Source organism: Homo sapiens, chromosome 11, assembly GCF_000001405.40.
Source record: "Homo sapiens chromosome 11, GRCh38.p14 Primary Assembly".
In the NCBI taxonomy this organism is placed as follows: Eukaryota; Metazoa; Chordata; class Mammalia; order Primates; family Hominidae; genus Homo; species Homo sapiens.
The window spans coordinates 75,461,680-75,480,836 of NC_000011.10; the positions used below are offsets into that span (position 1 = coordinate 75,461,680).

General features: G+C 53.7%; 1 protein-coding gene across 16 annotated transcripts in view, besides 3 other annotated features; it reads right to left on the bottom strand.

The window, feature by feature from the left end:
• GDPD5 (glycerophosphodiester phosphodiesterase domain containing 5) overlaps positions 1-19,157 on the bottom strand; it is a 91,302-nt gene that overhangs the window by 27,040 nt on the left and 45,105 nt on the right. For 11 of the 16 annotated variants that reach the window (XM_047427653.1, XM_011545276.3, XM_047427649.1 and 8 more), the window contains 3 exons: positions 17,565-17,809; positions 15,940-16,116; positions 1,107-1,210 (listed from right to left, as the gene is read on the bottom strand). In XM_047427653.1, the coding sequence (XP_047283609.1) occupies positions 1,107-1,210; positions 15,940-16,056 (221 nt within the window). In that variant the 5' untranslated portion in view covers positions 16,057-16,116; positions 17,565-17,809. 16 annotated transcript variants of the gene reach the window in all.
• Positions 4,471-5,143: an enhancer, noted in NCBI's record as "H3K27ac-H3K4me1 hESC enhancer chr11:75177195-75177867 (GRCh37/hg19 assembly coordinates)". NCBI's record gives its function as "activates a minimal SCP1, AML or CMV promoter by ChIP-STARR-seq in naive H9 embryonic stem cells {active_cell/tissue: H9 hESC(naive)}" and the evidence as "EXISTENCE:reporter gene assay evidence [ECO:0000049][PMID:30033119]".
• Positions 5,412-6,059: an enhancer, noted in NCBI's record as "H3K27ac-H3K4me1 hESC enhancer chr11:75178136-75178783 (GRCh37/hg19 assembly coordinates)". NCBI's record gives its function as "activates a minimal SCP1, AML or CMV promoter by ChIP-STARR-seq in naive H9 embryonic stem cells {active_cell/tissue: H9 hESC(naive)}" and the evidence as "EXISTENCE:reporter gene assay evidence [ECO:0000049][PMID:30033119]".
• Positions 6,060-6,706: an enhancer, noted in NCBI's record as "H3K27ac-H3K4me1 hESC enhancer chr11:75178784-75179430 (GRCh37/hg19 assembly coordinates)". NCBI's record gives its function as "activates a minimal SCP1, AML or CMV promoter by ChIP-STARR-seq in naive H9 embryonic stem cells {active_cell/tissue: H9 hESC(naive)}" and the evidence as "EXISTENCE:reporter gene assay evidence [ECO:0000049][PMID:30033119]".

Below are 19,157 nucleotides of genomic sequence, written 5' to 3' on the forward strand. Positions count from 1 at the left end.
AAGACCTGATGAGGTCAGAGTTACCCCATTTTACAGAAGGAGAGGCTTAGAGAGCACCAGAGACTTGCTCATCGCCATGCTGACCTGAACATCTGATCAAAAGGAAGGAACAGCAATGGATGGGGAGTGAGGAGCCAGGCTTCCAAGCCCCAGCTGTCCCCAACTGGCTGTGTGACCTGGGCCTGTTTCCTTATCTGTCAGTAGAACCCTGGGTCCTTGCCCTCCTCCCATGACCTCTCCACTGCTTAGCAAAAGGCAGGCGATGGAATGGCGAAGAGGAAAAAACAGGTGCCCCTCCTGTACCCAGGTAAGTGGCTCAGACGGCCCTGCCTTTGGATCTGAGGTACCCACAAAGGACCTTGAGCTGTCCCCAAACTCATCTGCCAGCCCTGCCCAGGGCCTAGCTAAGGGAGTTAGGAGGCCTAGGATCCAGGGCTATCTCCTCTGCAGAGACCTTGGTCTCTCTGAGCTGTAGATTTCTTGTATACAAAGGGGGTAACCAAAGGGCCCTGCCCCGGTTGAGCCCTGGCCCAGCCTTATGTTCCTATTGTCCATGGTCACAGCACCGGGAAGGAATGCCCTGTGTCTCCCCAGTGGGCTTTGGCTCCTGTAAGCCTTTGTTCTTTGAGGCTCCCCTCCACCTCTTCAGGAGGCCAGGAATGCAGGCTGAATCATCAATGCAAGCACCAAGGGGTCTCCAAGACCAGCAGCTAAAGTTCCCCAGGTTTCAATCCCAGTCATTCTTTAAGGCCCAGTTCCCATGCCTCCTCCTCCAGGAAGCTTTCCCTGAGTTCGCAGTAGGACTCCCCTCGGGGCATGGATCTCTCTGTTTCCTCCTCCTCTTTCTTGCCAGTCTGCGATACAATCCTCACCCATACCTCTGGCACTTCCCACTATAGTCCCACACCAGCCTCCTCACCAAAGCCCTGGAGGTGAGCAGGACAGAGGCTCCCAGGGAGTAGGCCCTGCCCAGGGCCACACAGAGAGCTGGTGGCAGAGCTCAGAGGGCCAACCTGGGAGACAGGCTCTAACTCCAGCCCCCAGGTCCCAGCTACTGGATACCCAGCTCTGGGCCCCTTCCTCCCCCACCCACTGCCCCTACTCACCAGTTGAATTCATCATAGTCATTGTGGACTTCCCACCAGAAGTAAAGCCAGGTGAGCGTGAGGCCAAAGGTGAAGGTGAGGAGCAGGAACCAGAGGCGCTCCCACTGGAAGAGCAGAGGAGGAGGGGATTAAGTGGGTCAGGGGCCAGCCCCTTAGGCTGCCTCCCACCAGAATGTGTCCTCCTCCCTCCCACTTTGTAGCCAAACCTGCCAGGCAGGAATTCCTGCCCTCTTTACCCTGGGAGAAACTGAGGTTCAGAGAGGGGAAGTGACCTGTCCACCATCACCAAGCCCAAAGTCACAGAAAGGTGGAGAGCCAGGGGCAGTCAGGGCCTCCCCCCCTGGGGCTGTGCTCTTTTTACTGTGGTCTGCAGCCTTTCCATCGTGTACTGCTCTCCCTATTCTGGGGACGGCTCCCTTGGCGCTGGCACAGTGATCGGCAGTCTGTGAAGTCACATCCCTCACACACATGCCTACAAAGCAGGCACTCTTCTTCTCCACCTCTACCCCGTGCTACCGAGAAAAACACTGAGGCCCAGAGAGGCCAAGTGACTTGCCCAGGTCACACAGCAAGTTAGCAGAGGATTAAGGAAGAAGTACAGAAGTGCCATGTTCTGCTGCCTCCACTGGGCCAGATACCCCTGTCTCCAGCCAGGTGGAAGTGGGGTGGCGGGGGACACTGACACCACCACTGCTGTTTCCTGAGGGGCCAGCTCAGGCGTCTGCAGGCACTTCCTCCTGGCCCTCCAATTTCTCCCTGCTTTCATCCGTCCCCTTATCTTGGAAGCACAAAAAGCTTGGAATATCCTGCATCCCGGGAAACTGCTGAGATCATCAGAACAAGTCAACAGCCCTTGAGGGGAGGTCAGTGTGAGGAAGAACCAAGACTACATTTCCCTTGAGGGTGTAAAGTCACAGAGGCAGCCCTACGTCTGAGCTCCCTGCTATGTTTCTAAACCATCCCAGTTTAACCTCTTCATGGCTCCTTACTGATAGCCAAGCAGGAGTGTGGCCCCCTGACCTCTCCAGCTTCGACCTACACAACCAGTTCCTGCAACCTGGAAGGGCCACTGCCTCTGGGCTTGTTCCCTGAACATTCCCACTCACCTTTCAAGTCAGCTCAAATATCACTGCTTCTGTGAAGCCTCCCTGGATTCACCCTGCTACCCTCGTGCCTGCCGCGGTGCGCCCGCAGCATTGGCATCCCTCTGTCTAAACTCACGCTCTGCACACCATGACCTGCTCACTGTGTCCCCCAGACAAGTGTGGGTTCTGCAAGGACAGAGACTGAGCCGACTTCCACTCTACTAGTACTTTATGACCACATGCAGGATTGGGCAGGAAGGAGGGAAAGTCTTCTCACTGTCCAGAATCCTTCCATCCCACACCATGCAAAGATACCATCAGTCTGCCCAGGAACCTCAGATCCCTGTCACCACTTACAAGCTGTGTAACTCTGGGCAAAGTACTCATTCTTTCTGTGACTCAGTTTTCACCTCTATGAAATGAGGGCAATACTAGTACTTATGCCATGGGGTTGATGGAGAATTAAATGAGATAATACAAGTCAGGTGGCTTGGTGAGCACTCAGCACACTACCAGTGTATCTGTGACATCCTCTGCCTCTCCAGAACGTAGGAAAGGCCTTCACACCCTAATGGTCCATGACTCCATACCCACTAAGGGCCTGCTCCGTGCCTCGCCCTGGGCAAGAGGGCTGGTGCCTGGGTGACCCTCCTGTCCCAGGTGGGTCACTTCAGTTGGGCGACTCATGTTTGGGTGAGCAGCTGCCACCACTCCTTGTCATGTGCAGAGCCCGACTGCCTTGCTTAGCCTCACTTCGTACATAAACAGAGATGCAAAGGTGACGACACCCTGAGGCCCAGTATTTCTAGCAGGTTTAGGCTTGGGGAGGTGGTGGCTTCTCAGAGAGTAGGCCACTTGTGTCTGCCCCAGCTGGACACAGAATGGCACAAGCTCCAGTTCCAGGCACAGCAAAGCCCAGCCTTGGTCAGGAATAGGGAAACCCTGGCTAGGAGCAGGGCAGGACATGTGCCCTTCTAGAGCAATCGAACCCTAGGAGCTGCCACCCAGAGAATGGCTGAGTCCCTAGACTCAGTCCTGCCTCCCATGGAGGCAGTCTGGGTCTGCACATGACCGTCTCTCCACCACCCTCCAGCCAGCACCCCAGGACTAGTCCTTCTCAGAATCCGTCTTGCCACCTCAAATTCTTATTTGCTCATAACAGCCTTCATTCCCTGCAGAGTGCAGCTGGTGAGTCCCAGGCCAGCTTAAACATCTGAGTCTCCCAAAGGGTGAACCATGTCTTTAGACTGACACCCATCTGGTCACGTCATACCCCAGCTTGAGAGTCCCACTGGCAAGAGCTTCTCAGTAGATGTCAGGGCCCACTCTGTCTGGCCCAGGCCAGCTCTGTGCTTTATGCCCCATGCACAGAATTACATACGGTTCCCCAAACAGGCTCTTCAGACCCCAAGCCTTCACACAGCTGGAGCCTCCATCTAGAAAGCAACCTTTCTCTGCTCCATGAGGCAAACTACTCCTTCCAGAGTGCCTCCTCCCTGAAGACTCCCCTGTCTCACAGGGTGAATCCCATCTCCTCAGAGCTCCGTAACCCATGCAGCCATCTCACCTATGGCTCAGACCCCACAGTTCTAGAACTGTCTCTATACATGTCGGTCTCCCTGCTATACATAAATGCCTTGAGATCTGGGCAGTTTTCGTGTTCCAGATGGCACAGGAACTTGAAAAGATTTGATAATGAAATGATAGGTGAGGAAACACCCTTTCTCCTACCCTGGCATGAGTACACCCACCCAGGAGAGATTCCCCTGAGGCTTAACACCCAGTTCCCACAAAAAAGTACCTAGTCTTCTATAGAGCCCACGCTGGCAGTGTTAGATGGCTGTCTGTCCACAGAGACCACTTTGCCTCCTCAGGGGCAAGGCCTGTGTGCCTCTGACCAGCAGAGAAGGTTCTGAGAGGGACCTAGGCGAGGGGTGAGCCTCGGCCTAGGATGGGTCTGGTCCCAGGCAAGTAGCCTGGAGGCGGGAAGGTAAAGCACCTCCTGTAGGCGCTGGGAAGACGACCTGTGACCGGGGTGATGCAGGGCCCAGGGGCAAGGCTGACAGGGGGCCAGGAAGACCACAGGGGCCGGGAGGGCCCATGGCAGCCAGGGTCCTATGCCCTAAAGGCCATTGTCCTCAAGTGTCCAGATCCTTACAGTGGAGCAAGGCAGGGCAGGAATGAGGGGCTGCACCTCCCACTCCTGGGAACCAGCCAAGACCAGAGCTGGTGGTGGTTGGGGGTGAGGCATCCAGGCATGGAAGGAATGCAGGCAGGGCCTAAGCAACAAGGAGCCAGGAACCCCATGATCAGAACTAGTGCATGAGCTGGGGTTGGGGCAACCTAGGGATTAAAGCCCTGGGAGCTGAAGCCGGAGGCCACAGTGAGCCTGTAGATGGGGATGAAGAGGCCCCAGCACAGAGGGAGGCAGGCAGCGGGGGTCACTCTAAGAACAATCAGAGGAAAACACTGAATGGCAGGGACTGGAAGGAAGGGAAGGGGAAGGTGAGGAAGTAGCCAGAGGAAGTGGCCTGGGGAGCAGCTCCACTGATAAAGAGGCCCCAATAGCACTAATGGTCCTTGTCAGGGCACATTACAGCAGAGAGAGGCCTGCCCGCTCCACCCATTAGCAAGCCAATCTGGCCCTGCTCCCAGAGACGTGGAGCAGTGATCGCTGCCTCAATGCCCCGGCCACGGCCCTCCTTCATCTCTCACAGTCTGCATAACACTAGGGGTTGTTTATTTAGGGGTATCTACCCCCATTGCACAGAAGCTCAGAGAAGGGCCACCACATATGGCTGAGCAAGTTGTGCACTGCCCCCTAAGAAGTGCCACTCACATCATGGTGACCATCAATGTGCATATTATGACGATTTGCTGGCACATGGCGGGCGGGTGTGTCCTAGAAAATGGGTGCTTTTTGCTAATTTGCATAAAGGCTCAACACGGGTGAGTGGAGGGGAGTCAGAGGGGTCAGCAGGTAGGGGAGGAGTGGGGATAAGATTTGAACCCAGGCATACTGACTGGACTCTGCAGGCCCCCTTGGGAGGCAGCCTGAACAGCTCCCCTCAAAACCCACCTTGCCCTCTGGGACCCAGTATGGCGATCCCAGGCCCAGCCTAGTTCCCTGGATTTCTCTCCTCCAACTCTCTGACCCCTAGGCCAGACCTGATGCTCCTTCAGGAAGCCTTTCCATCCCTCCAGGGCTCAAAAGGTCTCCCCTCCCTGACCATCCTGCACAGACTCTTGGCACCCACCACTGTGACCCTCAATCAAATTGTAATTGTGGAGATGGAAAGAGCACGGGCTCTAAAGAGCTGGCTCTGCCACTCAGCACGTCACTTGGCCCCTCTGAGCCTCGGTCTCCTCGTTGTAAATGGGAATAACAGCCCTTCCCTCGGAGGGAGGCTGTTAAATGAGCTGAAGGGCTTCAAGTGGCACACAGTGGGCGCATAATGAGGGTGGCTCACTGGGCTGCGAGCTCCCTCAGGGCAGGGATGGCCTGAGCTGTCTCTATGTCTCCTGGGCCCAGCATCACGCCGGGCACAAGGTGGTGGTCACCTATGGCGTGAGGGATAGAAGGAGGTATGGATGTGAGACAGGGCAACAGAGGGGTGCTCAGGGCCACCAGTGGGCAGGGCCATCGTGCAAGCCCCAGACTTACCCTCAGGGAGCAGGAGAAAAGCTGAGTGGGCTGGGGCTGAGGGAGCAGCTGGCTCCTGGGGTAGGCACCAGGAGGAGTGTGCTGGAGACTGCCTAAGGAGGGACCAGACAGGGCGAGCAGCTGGGGCAGGAGTGGCCCCTGGCTGTGGATGGGGTAGGATGCTGATTCCTGCCCGAGGGGATGGAGGCTGAGGTGGGGGCTGCTGTGATGGAGAATCCTGGAGGCTCCAACCCAGAGGCCACTGCATCTCCTTCCATTATTACCCTAACCCTCCAGAAACAGGAGCCCCTCCGTAGCAATCTGGGCAATTGTGGGTCAATTTCCCTGAAGGCCAGTCCTTCTCCTCACTGTCTCCTGAGGATGGTCATGTCTTCTCTTCACCCTTCTTTGTCTCTGTCCTGTTCCTCCCACCCCAGAGCCCTCTGTGTTCAGAGAAGAACATAGAGAAAGACCTCATTAGCAGCGGGGGCTCATACAGTCACAGAGCACGACTGCAGCCGCAAACCCAGCCCCACACAGGAAGCATGGGCATGGCCGCTGGGGTGGGATGGCTCTGCTGCTGCCTTTTGCCACTGGCTACAGGCCCCTGCCACTGTAGACTGCAGCCCCAGGCCAAAATGCACACAGCTGCCCCTCCCACTACTAGGGATCCTGAAGGTTATGGAGCACCTCCCCTTGGTCCCTTAACAGAACATGGGGTCTGAAGTCTGCACACATCACTCTGAATGTTACAGAATTTCAGAATCGCAGAGCTCCCCTGCCTGTCCCCTTGCCCTGAGGCAGCGAGCGTGTCTGCAGCCTCCAGGACACGAGCTCACCCTACTCTACTCCACTGGCTCCTGGGAAGGGGCTTCTCCTTCCAGATGCTGCCTAGTCCTTCTGTGGACTCAAAATTCTTCCTTCCAAGACATGGAGCCTGACAACGGAAGGCTGGGTTGAGGGAGTCTGGCAATACTGGGTTTGAATCCCAGACTGGCCACGACTGAGTGACCTTGGGGAAGACATTTACCTTCTCTGTGCCCCAGCTTCCTGCTCTGTAAAATGGGGACAGTATCGGCATGCTGCCCAGACCACTAAAACCTCCCATGCACGGCATCTGGTGAGGCTGACCTTCCAGGCAGGGGAGTTACTGCCCTCCCCCGACGCCCCCCCCCCGGGAGGTGGAGCTGAAATCTGCCTCCTCCACTGCTCCCCTGCAGCTGGTTCTCTGATACCACACAGAACAAGGCCAGCCAAAGGGTAAGAAATATTGGGGTCAAATGACCACAGAGTGGAGAATACACAAAAGAGCTGGATTTTCACCCAGGCCCTTTTCCCACCGGCTGTGTGGCTGTAGGCCAATCGCTCAGGACCTCTGACCTCAGCTTCCTCCTCTGTTCACAGAATGACATCACCACCACCTCACAGGAGGACTGCCAGGCCCCAGCACGATTACAGATGTAAGCTGTAAGTCGCCAAATCCAGGATCGTTCCTGTAATTATCATTTCGCGTCTGACAGCCCTTTAATTATGTGAAGACAGTGATCAAACCTTTCCTCCCTGCTCTACACCACATCTCTCCAGCTGCTGAGGACAGCCAGGTTGATTGCCTTCCCCCAACCCAGGGCGGGTGCCATGGTCAGCCAGATGCAGAGGCCAGGCCTGGCTCTGTAGGCTGTGGCCCTGGGAACCAGCACCAATAGAGGAAGAAGACCCTGGCATGGTAGCTGCCCAATCTCACTCACAGGCTGCATCCCGGGCTGTGGGGAACAGAGTCCTGTGTGAGCTCACCATGGCATTGGGGGTGGGTGGGGATGGTAATCCTAAGAGCCCTTTACTTGCTCCATCTCATCATCCCCACAGTTCTGCAAAGCAGAGGAGACCAAGTCACAGAGGAAGGAAGGGACTTGCCCAAAGTCACAAAGGGCACACATAATGGTGGAACCACAATTCACAACCAGGTCTGTGTACCTCCAGTGTCCCCAGCTGTCTCGGGGCAACAAGGAGCAGGAAATGTAAATTATCCTTGTCTGACCAAGGTGGAAACAGGCTCAGAGGGACAGGGCCTTGCCCAAGGTCACACTTTGAGTCACAGGCTGCGCCAGAGCAGGGACCCTGGGATTTCAGAGTTAACTAAGATGCCAGAGATTATCTCGCCTCATCTCCTAAAGATCCAACTAAGAAGTGGTGATACTTCGATCTAAAGAAGGAGAATGGCCTGGAAATGTGGGCAAGAGATTAGGACATTAGCATATTAGTGGAAAAATGATGGGGAATTCAACTTATGGTGTTGGGACATCTGGATATTTGGTAACAACTGTAATTAGACCCCTGCCTCACACCCCGTACCAAACTAAATCTGTGTCTCTCCTCTACATCCTCACCACCCTTCTCTTCCAGTCATCTACGTACACGTGTTGAGCCCTTAGACACTCAGAGATAAATCAGGCCACCCTGAGCCAAGACTGGCAGCAAATAGCTCCACTCCTGGGAATTGGTGTGGTGAGCAGGGCAAACACAGGTTGCTTAGGAGCTCAGAGCCCGGATCCTTAACATTGTCAGTTATAGGAGGAGGGGTGAGCTAGAAGCCTTCCTGGAGGAGAAGACACCTGCAGCAAAGTGGAAGGAAAGGACTTATTGAGAGAACAAGGTTGGGAAACCTCAAGCCAGACAGAGAAAAGGAGCAGAGGGCGTGAAGGCACAGAGCAAAGCAGGCTTTATTTTGGGGAACTGGCTCTTTATGGGCTTATAAAAGCTTTCCTTATGTAAGAGAATTAGCCTTCGTACACACTGTATATTTTTTCTTATATATCATTTGAATTAATTTTATTTATCATGCTTTCTGTGCAGAAATTTAAATTTTTATGTAGTCAAATCTATCCCTCTTTTCCTTTATACATTTTGCCTTTGGTATTGGATTTAAGAAGGGTGGCCCAATATCATATATTTAAGTAATATTTTACACCCACGATTTCTCGGCTTCATTGCTTACATTTCAATCTGCAATCCACCCATCCATCGACATCCATCTATATATAGTTCCATATGGATGTCACGTGTGCGGAGAGAGGTTTAAAAGCCTTATCTCTAAAGCATGAAGACTAGAATTTCTTTTACATCTTTCCAAGTTGTTTAAATTTTTTCAACAAATGTATGCCTTCAAAATGGGAAAAAAATTTTAAAAATAGAAAAAAATACATCTTAATCCATCTGGAATTTATTTTGGTGTGAAGTAAAAGGCAGGGATCTAATTTTACTTTCACCAAATGGATGCTTCAGCTGTCCCTACATCATTTGTGATACTGGTAGTAATTTCTACATTTGTTCACCACACAGTGAGTTCTCAGATGCCTGTGGTTGTGTTTCCAGGTTTTCCAACCTGGCCCAAGGCAGCCCTTTCCCCCTTGTGCGGGCTCTGCCTGGCACAGCTCCTTTCTGCTCAGCCAAGCCCTCTCCCCAGTGGTTCCAGCTCTTCTTTGAGGTCCCAGAGCCCAGCTGCACCCTCAGCACACGGTCCTACAGAGACCAAGAGGGAGAGACTGAAGAGTGCCTACTCCTGAATCTGCCACCTGCAAGCCAAATCTTGGGCACCTCAGCTCTTCCAATGGTCAGCCTGTTCCACCTTCACCAAGTTCCAAATGAGGGGACTGATGCACGGGAAAGCCTGGGAAATGTCAGCTGGAAAGGGTGCAGGGAGCTCCCAAAAGGGAGAGATGGGCAGGCTATGGCAGGATTACCCTGGCCCTGATCCGGGAGATTTGGGGGAGGTGGTGGCCTGGGGAGGTTGAAGAGATATTGCAGCATTAGGGCCGAGCAGGGAAAGGGATTAGAATCCCCACCCCCAGCCGGCTCCTGACAGCCTAAGAGGCTGGATTTATTTTTCTGGACTACAGAGAGCTGGGCAATCAGGCCTCTGTCCTTGCTTCTGCTGGGGTGCATTGCACTCAGAGTGGTTCATTAGGCAGGAGAATGCAATTAAGTCCTGCCTGGGGCACCCTGTCTCTCCCAGCCTATCCCTTGGCTGGCATCAGCCCCTTGGGGAGACATGAGCAGAAGGGCTGAGGGGCCCTTAGGAAGAACCATCCCAGATCCCTACATAGGACCCTGACCACGTCACAGGGTGGGTGGTGATAGTCCCCTGGTAATGCCCCATCTCCTGCCCCACCCTTGCTCAAGGTGTTCATAGAGTGTCATCAACAAGACTTAGCCACTTCCCCTGGAGCGTGACGTGGTCATGCCAGGTGCCCTTGGTGCTATTCCAAGAGGAGCTAGGCAGGGTGTGGGGGTTTCCTAAGGCAAGAGACAGCATGGCTTTATTGCAGCGATAAATCCCCACCTCCTCATGCTGCAACAAACCAGCCCCTCCTCTCTCTCTCTTGTGGATGTAATAATATCATCTCCTAGTTTCTTATCCTTATAGGAATCCTGCAGTTTTAGAAGTGGGAAAAATAAAGCTCAGAGGGCCTCTCTCTCACCCCTGCCGGGTCTCTTTTCCTCAAAGCGCTGAAGGAGAGAAAGCCATCACTTTGAAAGTTTGTAGGGAGGGCACGTTTTCTGCAGGGTTGGAACAATGGTCTCTTTGGTACAAGACAGGAGGCACATTCCTATCCATGATCTAATTGTATCTGTAGGACATAGATGTGTACCTCCACTTAACCCACAAGCAAGCTCAGGCCCAGAGAGGGTCTGGGCCTGACCTGAGATCACACACTCAGTCACTGGGAGGCAGGGTCAAGTTCAGGCTGCAGCTCCCTTGCCAGGAATGCCCAGTGGCATCTGGCTCAATCCAGCCACACCCTGGAGCCCATCTCAAGGCTGCTTCATCCCTGAAGCCTGCCCTGATTTCCTGAGTGGGATCCATTCTTTCCAGCTCCATATCCTGGACACAAATCCACATGGCTGACAGGACAAAAAGTGGGGGCCAGCTGGGAAACTCATCTCTTCCTCCCTCTTGTGCACTGGCAGAGCCCAATCCCAGCTCCCAGGGTGATCTGGGAGGTCCCTCTGGCTGAGGCAGCACCCTCCACTGCCAACCACCACCAGGAGCACAGGAGGCAGCACCAAGAACACAGCACACACCCGTCCGCACATGTACGCCTACATTCTCTGACAGCTCATTAGGGGTCCGGCTGCCCCACCTGGTCAGCAAGATGGCAGTCACATCCCCTAACCGCTTCCTCACTCACTCATGAACACATATGCTCAATCCTCCTTCCAGTTGTTCATTCAGTAAATCTTGTCCGAGGACCTCCTCTGAGTCAGGTCCCTGGAGTGTGCAGGCCCAGACGCTATCCTAAAGAGTCCAGTGGGAAACAAAAAATCACAATCCACATGGCCAGCACAGGTCAACCTGCTGTGGAACCCCAGGGGAGTGAGGAAGGTGGGGAGAGAGAGCAGTGAGGAGAGAAAGGAAGGAGGAGGGCTATTTTTTGGCAGAAGTTGGGGGCATGGAGGGGGATTTGCAATGAGTCTTAAGGGGCAGGGAGGAGAAAGACAGGGCATTCCAAGCAGAGGGAATGGCAGGAGCAAAGGCCCAGTGCTGTGAAGGGTGAGGTTATCCTGTGGATGCGGAGAAGCTCAGGGTGGCTGGCGTGGACGAGCATGGAGGGGAAGGGGCAGAGGAGCTGGGGATGGATTTCCCTACACCGAGTGTCTTCCTGCCAGGGTAGGGTGATGGGGGGCTCTCATCATATCTCATCATAGAAGGCAGGCAACTGGGGTTAGGGAGGCTTATTTGTCTGTTCTGCCCACCCTTCCTGTGCTATTCCTGGACTCTACTGAGAACGCTGTACTCTCACTCGCTCCTGGGGCACAGCATGTGTTCCCATCTCCAGGATGGGCCTCCATCCACCCACGCTGGGCATCATGGGAGGATGGGAGGATGGGATTCACTGTCAGACACTCCTTCCTCTGCACCTCAGTCCACAGCCAGTCCGTTGATACCTTCTAGGTGTCTCTGGAATGCCTCCCCAGCCTGCATCCCTGTGTATACCTCCTCACTCCCCACATAGACACCTGAGGCCTCACTGGCCCTCCCACCTCCACCTGAGGGCCCTCAGCATCCTCCACAATTTGACCACAGTGTTCCTCACACAGCCCGAGCCTGGCTCAGGCCCCCGCTGCCCAGGATGAAGCCTAGACTCCTTAATACAGCTTCAGGCTCAGGCCCACTGAGCAGCACCCTTCCCCGTCCCTGCACCTGAGCCGGTGGACTGAATTCCTTTCAGTTCCTGAACACAAGACACTCTCTTGTGCACACAGTTCCCCCTACCCTGAACACTTCCCTGGTCTGTGGAGATGGGGCCGATACTCCCAGAGGCCAGCTCGGGCAAGCCTTCCCTGCCCCCAGGGTTTCCCCAGGCCTCCAAAATGATCGACCTGGGTGGTCCAGGTGTGTCTGATCTTGTCTGTTCCCCCACAAGCCTGGGGGCCGGCCCTTCAAGGGAGGGGAAAACCAGGTCTGATATACTTATGACCCCAGAGCAGGTAGCAGGACAGGTTTGTTGATTGAATAAGTAATCAGGGCACCCCAGACAAGACTGTTTGGTGTGGAACAGATGAGAAGGCACAGGCCTGGGGGTGTGAGTGGGGTCAGTGCAGGCTGTGCCCTCAGCCCCTTGGCCTGAATAACTCCCTTGCTCTTCCTGGAGGAAATCAATTAAGATTATAGCAGCCTTCAAAAGGTAAATGTACTACAGAAGTGCAAGAATCGGCTATGGTAGTCTGTCTCTTTCAATGTCTCTGGCTGGGAAGTTCCTCCAGGCATCTGACCTATATCCCTCTCTATAGAGAAGCTGGTTTTGACACTGCCTTTTGCAGACACAGTCTTCAGGGGACCCTGTGGGGATGGCCTGAGAACAGTCTTCTGTCCTACCAAGTCCTTAATTGGCAGTATTAGAGTAATGAGTCACAGACAACAACCAATTAATTATCCCCAGTTATAAAAAGCTCTACTTCCCCTTCCTGGCTGTTGAGTGAGCCTGGCCTCCTGCTGCCAGGCTCCTCCACTCCTCAGAACTGGGGGCAAGAGAAGAGGCCATTTCACCTCTCTGGTCCTTGGTTTCCTGCTTCTTTATTTGTTAAGCGTGTATCCTGGGGGACTGGGGGGCAAAGGCTTGGAAGAGGTGGGAATGTGTCAGGCTGGGGGGCAGGAAGGAGGGAGACCAGCGTGGATGGAGAGGAAGGGGCCCTTCCCAGGCTCTCTCCACGCACCCTCTCCACTCCCAGGATCCACTTCAGGGCCCAGGGCTGGATCATAACCAGGGAAACACTGAGGATTCCAAGCCTGGCATTCAAGGCCACTCCCCATCTTGTCCCAAATGCTCCTGGTCCAGTGCTCTTTCTCCTCCATCAGGCAACTTCCCAAGTCCCCTTGCCTTTCTTCTTCCAGCAAACTCTCACTTAAACCCACATCTTCAACACACGCTATCTTCCCTAGTCTCCAGCAGTTTAGGCTGCAAATCTATCATCAGCCTGTGTGACTGATTTCTCCATCTGTAAAATGGGCACACAATTAAACATGGCCCATGGAGATGTTACAACAATGACTAGGGCAATGCATGTAAACTGTTTGCTCCCTGCATACAGTAGGTACTCAATAAATGTTAACAGATACTATTACTTTCATACTTCATTTTCCAGCCTGAGAATGAGAATAAAATGCCTCGTGACTCTCCCACCTTTCAGCCCATTTCACAGATGAGACTCAGGGAGATCGGGTTTCACAGGAGTTGAACCCAGGCTTCTCTGAGTTGGGAGATACAGGGGGAGAATCCCCCCTGGGGCGGGGGTGGTGAGAATAAGGAGACAAACCAGGCTCACTGGAAGAGCCGTCTCCACCACCCCTCAACTCAGGCAGCTCTCCTCTCCCTACCAGCCCCCGCAGAGCTTACGCAAGACCTCTATTTGTTCAGCGAAATTTCTGGAGCCCCTACCCTGCACCAGCCCTGTCTTTGAGACACTAGGTCGCTATTCCTTCGTTGTGAGAGTCCAGCCCCACCGCTGCCCTCACCCAGCTGCCTCAGGAAGGAATAGAGAGAGAAAAGAGAAATGGGGAGAGAGAGAAAGGATGAGGGGCAGAGGCTGGGAACCAGGAAGTAGGAGGAGACAGGGGGCGGAGCGAAGTGAGCGACTGCAGGGAGAAAGGGGCGGGGGAGCAGAGGATGCTCATCTTCAGCTGTGAGTTTGGGGTCACCTGAGGTGAGCTCAGCCCTTTCTGCAGAGGCGCTGCCACCCAGAGCTGCTGTAAAGCCCTATACCCTCTCCTAGCCTAGCTCATGGCCCCCTGCTGCCCCTCCAGCCTTGGCCCCAGACCCCTGCCTCAGATTGGTGACCCAGACCCTAGCCTTGCAGGGCACATTCTGTTCTGGTTCTCAGTCAGCTCAAAACCAGCCTCAGCCCACTTCCTCCACTCTGGGCCCTGTGCTGGCTGCAGCCAAGATCATCACTTCCTGACTCCATGCCTATGACTGGCTGGCCTTGGGCCCACCAAGGAGATGAGACTTCTGGGAGATACGCCTTCCCCAGCATCTGCCCTGATGGCCAAGGGGCTTCCTGCCTGGGAGCTCAGCCATCCTTCTTCTCACCTTAGCCTCAGCTGTCTCCCCACCCCATTCACACCAGTGGCTGCTGGACCTCCATTGCCCAGGTCCAGATCCAGAACAAAGTGTGGAGCACGGTAGAGTGGTCACGGGATTCTGAAGCCAAGATCACAACCTATCTCCCATTTCAGAGATGGAGAGGCTGAGGCTTGGGCATCTGGAAGGACCTGTCTCAATGGCTAGTCATAGCTGGCACTGTGCCAGTCACGTTACAGCCCTCATCACATGTCATGGCCCAGCGGCAACTTGAGAGGGGTGTGTCTCCCCTCCAGTTCACCGTTGAGGGAGCTCACAGGCAACTAGATTCAAGTAGAGGATGCACCACCAAAACCTGAATCCATCTGACTCCAGAGCCCACGGTCTGTACCCCTCCACATAAGAGGGAAAGCTGTGACATATGGTATCTCAGAGGGCTTCCCAGCAGGGGCCTGGAGTGGAGAGACCGGGGCTCTAGTATTGGCGTTGCCAGGGGCCTGCCCTGTGGCCTTGGGCAGGCCCTTCCCTCTCCTTTGCCTCAGTTTGGCCACTTGGCTCCTCTGTGGCCGGGAGTGGGGAGATGGCAATGAATCAGGCCTGGTGCCCACCCTGGCAGTTCCTGCTTTTCACTATTTGGAGGTGACGAACCCAGGCTCCTCAGTCTAGGGCTCTATCCGTCATCAGCACAGGCAGAGGAGGGCAGACAGGTGGATAAGCTTCCCCGACCTCCCCAGACAGACAGCCAGGCCTACTGGGCCTCTGACATCAGCGGCAGCCACCGCTCCCCATCCCCCACCCCGGCCCACACCCTGCCACCCCCTGGCCACTCCAGCCTCTTCTGGGGCTGGCTGAATTTAGAGGCTGGCTTCTTTGTTCAGACAAGCAGGAAGGAGGAGGAAAGTTGTTCTCCAGACAGTAAAGCTTTTAGATAAACACCACACAGGAATTGGGTTCCTTCAGAGAAGAAACTAGATCCACTGGCTGACAGCGCCCCAGGGACAGGAGTGCAGCTTAGGTCTGGCCTGGGAAGCCCAGCACTGAAGGAGGCTTTCTTTATCCGGCTGTGCACCTGCTGCCAGCTCTGGCAAGCCTGTGGCTCAGGTGACTGAGCCCCGGTGCCAGACCGTGGCCCTGCCAGCTCCCAGGCTCCAGGATGGCCAGGCCCATCTCCTCACCCTCTCCTCCAGCACCTGCCTGTTTGCCTGCCTGCCTGCCTGTCAAGATCTGCCAGGAAGCTGAGAACTTCTGCTCACCTTGGGGTGACCCTTCCCTTCTAGAGGAGCCCAACCTCAACAATGTCAGAGGAGAGTTAACAACTTGTCAACAGGACAAACTCCTTCCATGCCCTCCTGGTCAGTAGATTCAGGAATTACTATAAGCCCATTTTACAGAGGGAGAAACTGAAACCCAGAAAGGCCATTGGCCTGTCCAGAGCGAGTCAGCAGAGACAGAGCTAAGACCCCTCCCCCAGCCCCTCAGGCTTGCTGGGGCTCACTGGGTCCCTCTGACCCTGTTCCAGGGTGGCTCACCGGTGTGGTATCATCATGGGAGCGCTGGTAGCGCTTCCAACGGCAGCCGTAGATGCCCGTGAGGCAGGAGAGGCACAGCTGTGGCTCGTAGTACTGCAGGGGCTGGTGTCTCACCATACTCGTGCCCACGGCCCTGGCGCCTGGCCCTCAGGCGCCCATGGAGGCCCCCAGCTTGTCCTGCAGGAGGAAGCACAGGGCAGTGAGGCAGGGGAAGGGTGAGGAGTCAGGCACCACACAGCAAGTCATTGTAGCCTAGGTCAGGGAGGGTCACCCCTGCTCAAAGCACTGCAGTGGGGCTCCGTCTCACTTGGAGTCACAGGCCCACCCCTGCAGGTCCCCAAGGACCTGTCCTCTGCCTCCCACCCAGGCCCTCATCCTCCCTACTCCTTCCCCTCCAGCCACTCCTGACCTCTTCCATGTTCTTCACTGGCCTAGCATGCTGCTGTTCCCTCTGCCTGGAATGCTCTTCCCTTAGAAACCTGCATGGCTTCCTTCTCTTTCCCCTCCTCTCTTCAGGTCTTAGCTCAAATGTCCTTTTCTTTTCTTTTTGAGACAGAGTCTTGCTCTGTCACCCAGGCTGGAGTGCTGTGGCACAATCTCGGCTCACTGCAACCTCTGCCTCCTGGGTTCAAGCAATTCTCTTGCCTCAGCCTCCCAAGTAGCTGGGATTACAGGTGCCCACCACATCTGGCTAATTTTCGTATTTTTGTAGAGCTGGGGTTTTGCCATGTAGGCCAGGCTGGTCTCGAACTCCTGACATCAGGTTATCCACCTGCCTCAGCCTCCCAAAGTGCTGGGATGACAGGCGTGAGCCATGGCACCTGGCCACATGTCCTTTACTCAATGAGACTGTCCCAGATCACCTTCTGTAAAACTGTAGCCCCTTCCCACATTCCCTAAGCTCCTTCCCACATTCTCAGCTTTGTTTTCTCAATCATGTCCTTAAATATAACTTGCTTATTTTTCCTGTCTGTCTACCCTACTATAATGCAGTTTTCATGAAGGCAAGGATTTTTGTCTGTTGTATTTTCTGCTGTATTCCCAGTAACTTGAACAGTGTCTAGCACATAGCAGACTTTCAAAATAAACATTTTAGAAGAAATTATCATATAAGCTGAGATGTGTTGAGCACTTAAAATACACCAGGCACCGTGTAAATACTTTACATTCATTGTTCCATCTCATCAGCACAACCATCTGAAGTGGCAGGTTCTGTGTCCTAAACCCATTTGACAGTTCAACAAACTGAGGCTCAGAGAACAAGGAGCAATGCCTGGCTGCTGTCCCATAACTGGACTGTAGTCAATCTAGGAACTGCTCTAGTGCCCCAAAGTATTCATTCTCCAGACACAGGGAGCTCCCTCACCGGGTGGGGCCTGTGGGAGGATGGTATAGCAGCAAGAGGTGTCTTGAGGGTTGAAGTGTGGCTGCCAGAAGCTACTGCCCCAGCCCTGCTTGGCACCCTGGAGATATCTGTGGGAGCCTCGGCCTCTGGGGGCCAGTGTTGGTAAAGTGTGACCAGGTGGCAATGGGCTTGGGGCACCTCACACACCCTGAGTATCAGGTGTCATCCAGTCCTCCACACCACTGTGAGTTATTCTTATTCCATTTTGCCGATGACAAACCTGGGGCTCAGAGCAGAGAAACTATTTGCCCAGAGGTGCACAGCTATACTGAGGTGTCAGGACTCCAACGCTGGCCTGTGGGACTCCAGAAACTCAGTCATATGTTCTGTACCAGGCCCTGTCCGAGGCCCTGGAGACAATGTGAGCAGGACACACAAAGGCTCCTAGGGCCCTGAGAGGGCCAAAGAGGGGAACAGCCAGGCATTGTTCCAAGTGCTTTCCATGCAGAAACTATAACAGCAGCCCTAGGAAGGAAGGAAGGATTTGCATTTAAAAAATGGAGATATAATTCACATGCCATAAAATTTACCCTTTTAAAGTATACAATTCAGTATTTAATATACAGTATTCAATTTTTGGTATATTCACAAGTTGTACAACCATCACCACTATCTAATCCCAAAACAGTTTCACCATCCCAACAACCCCCCACCCCCTTCTCATGCACTGTAACTCCCTATTTACCCTGGCTTCACTCCTCTGGCCCTGGCAACTGCTCATCCACTTTCTGTCTCTATGGACTTGCCTATTCTAGAGACCTCGTATAAATGGAATCATACAATATGTGACCTTTTGTGTCTTGCTTCTTTCACGTGGCATAATGTTCTCAAGGCTCATCCATGTTGTAGCATGGATCAGCATTTCATTCCTTTTTATGTCTAACATTCTGTTGTATGGATCTACCACATTTTGTTTATCCATTGATCAGCTGATGGACATATGGGTTGTTATCACTTTTGGGTTGTTATACATAATGCTTCTGTGAATGAGTTTTTTGTGTGAACGTGTGTTTTCATTTCTTTTGGGTACACATTTCTTTTGGGATAGAATTGCTGGTCACAGCACTTTGGGAAGCCAAGGCAGGTGGATCACTTGAGGTCAGGAGTTCGAGACCAGCCTGACTAACATGGTGAAACCCCATCTCTACTAAAAATACAAAAATTAGCTGGGCATGGTGGTGGGCACCTGTAATCCCAGCTACTCGGGAGGCTGAGGCAAGAAAATCGCTTAAACCTGGGAGGCAGAGGTTGTCAAGATCGCACCACTGCACTCCAGCCAGGGTGACAGGGCAAATCTCCATCTCAAAAAAAAAAAAAAAGAATTGCTGTGTCATATGGTAACTTTTGTTTTTGAGATAAGGTCTTGCTCTGTTGCCCAAGCTGGTGTGCAGTAGTGCAATCATCGCTCATGGCCACCTCAGACTCCAGGGCTCAAGTGATCCTCCTGCGTTGCTGGGACTACGGGTATGTGCTGCCACACCTGGATCATATGGTAACTTTTATGTTTAACCTTTTGAGGAACTGCCAAACTTTTCCAATGTGACTGCACCATGTTACATCCCCAAAGTATCATCATCATCATCCCCATTTTATAGATGAGAACTCTGAAGCACAGAGAGGTTGACCCACTTACCAAAGGACACCCAGCAGAGCCAGGATTCATACCCACGCAGGTTGGCTCCAGGGACCTTGCTCTAACCCATGGGCCTGCCAAATCTGATCTGCCACCTATTTTTGTACAGCCCAAAAGCTAAGAATAGTCTTTATGTTTTTAAATGGTTGTGAAGAGTCAAAACAAAAATATCTTGTGACA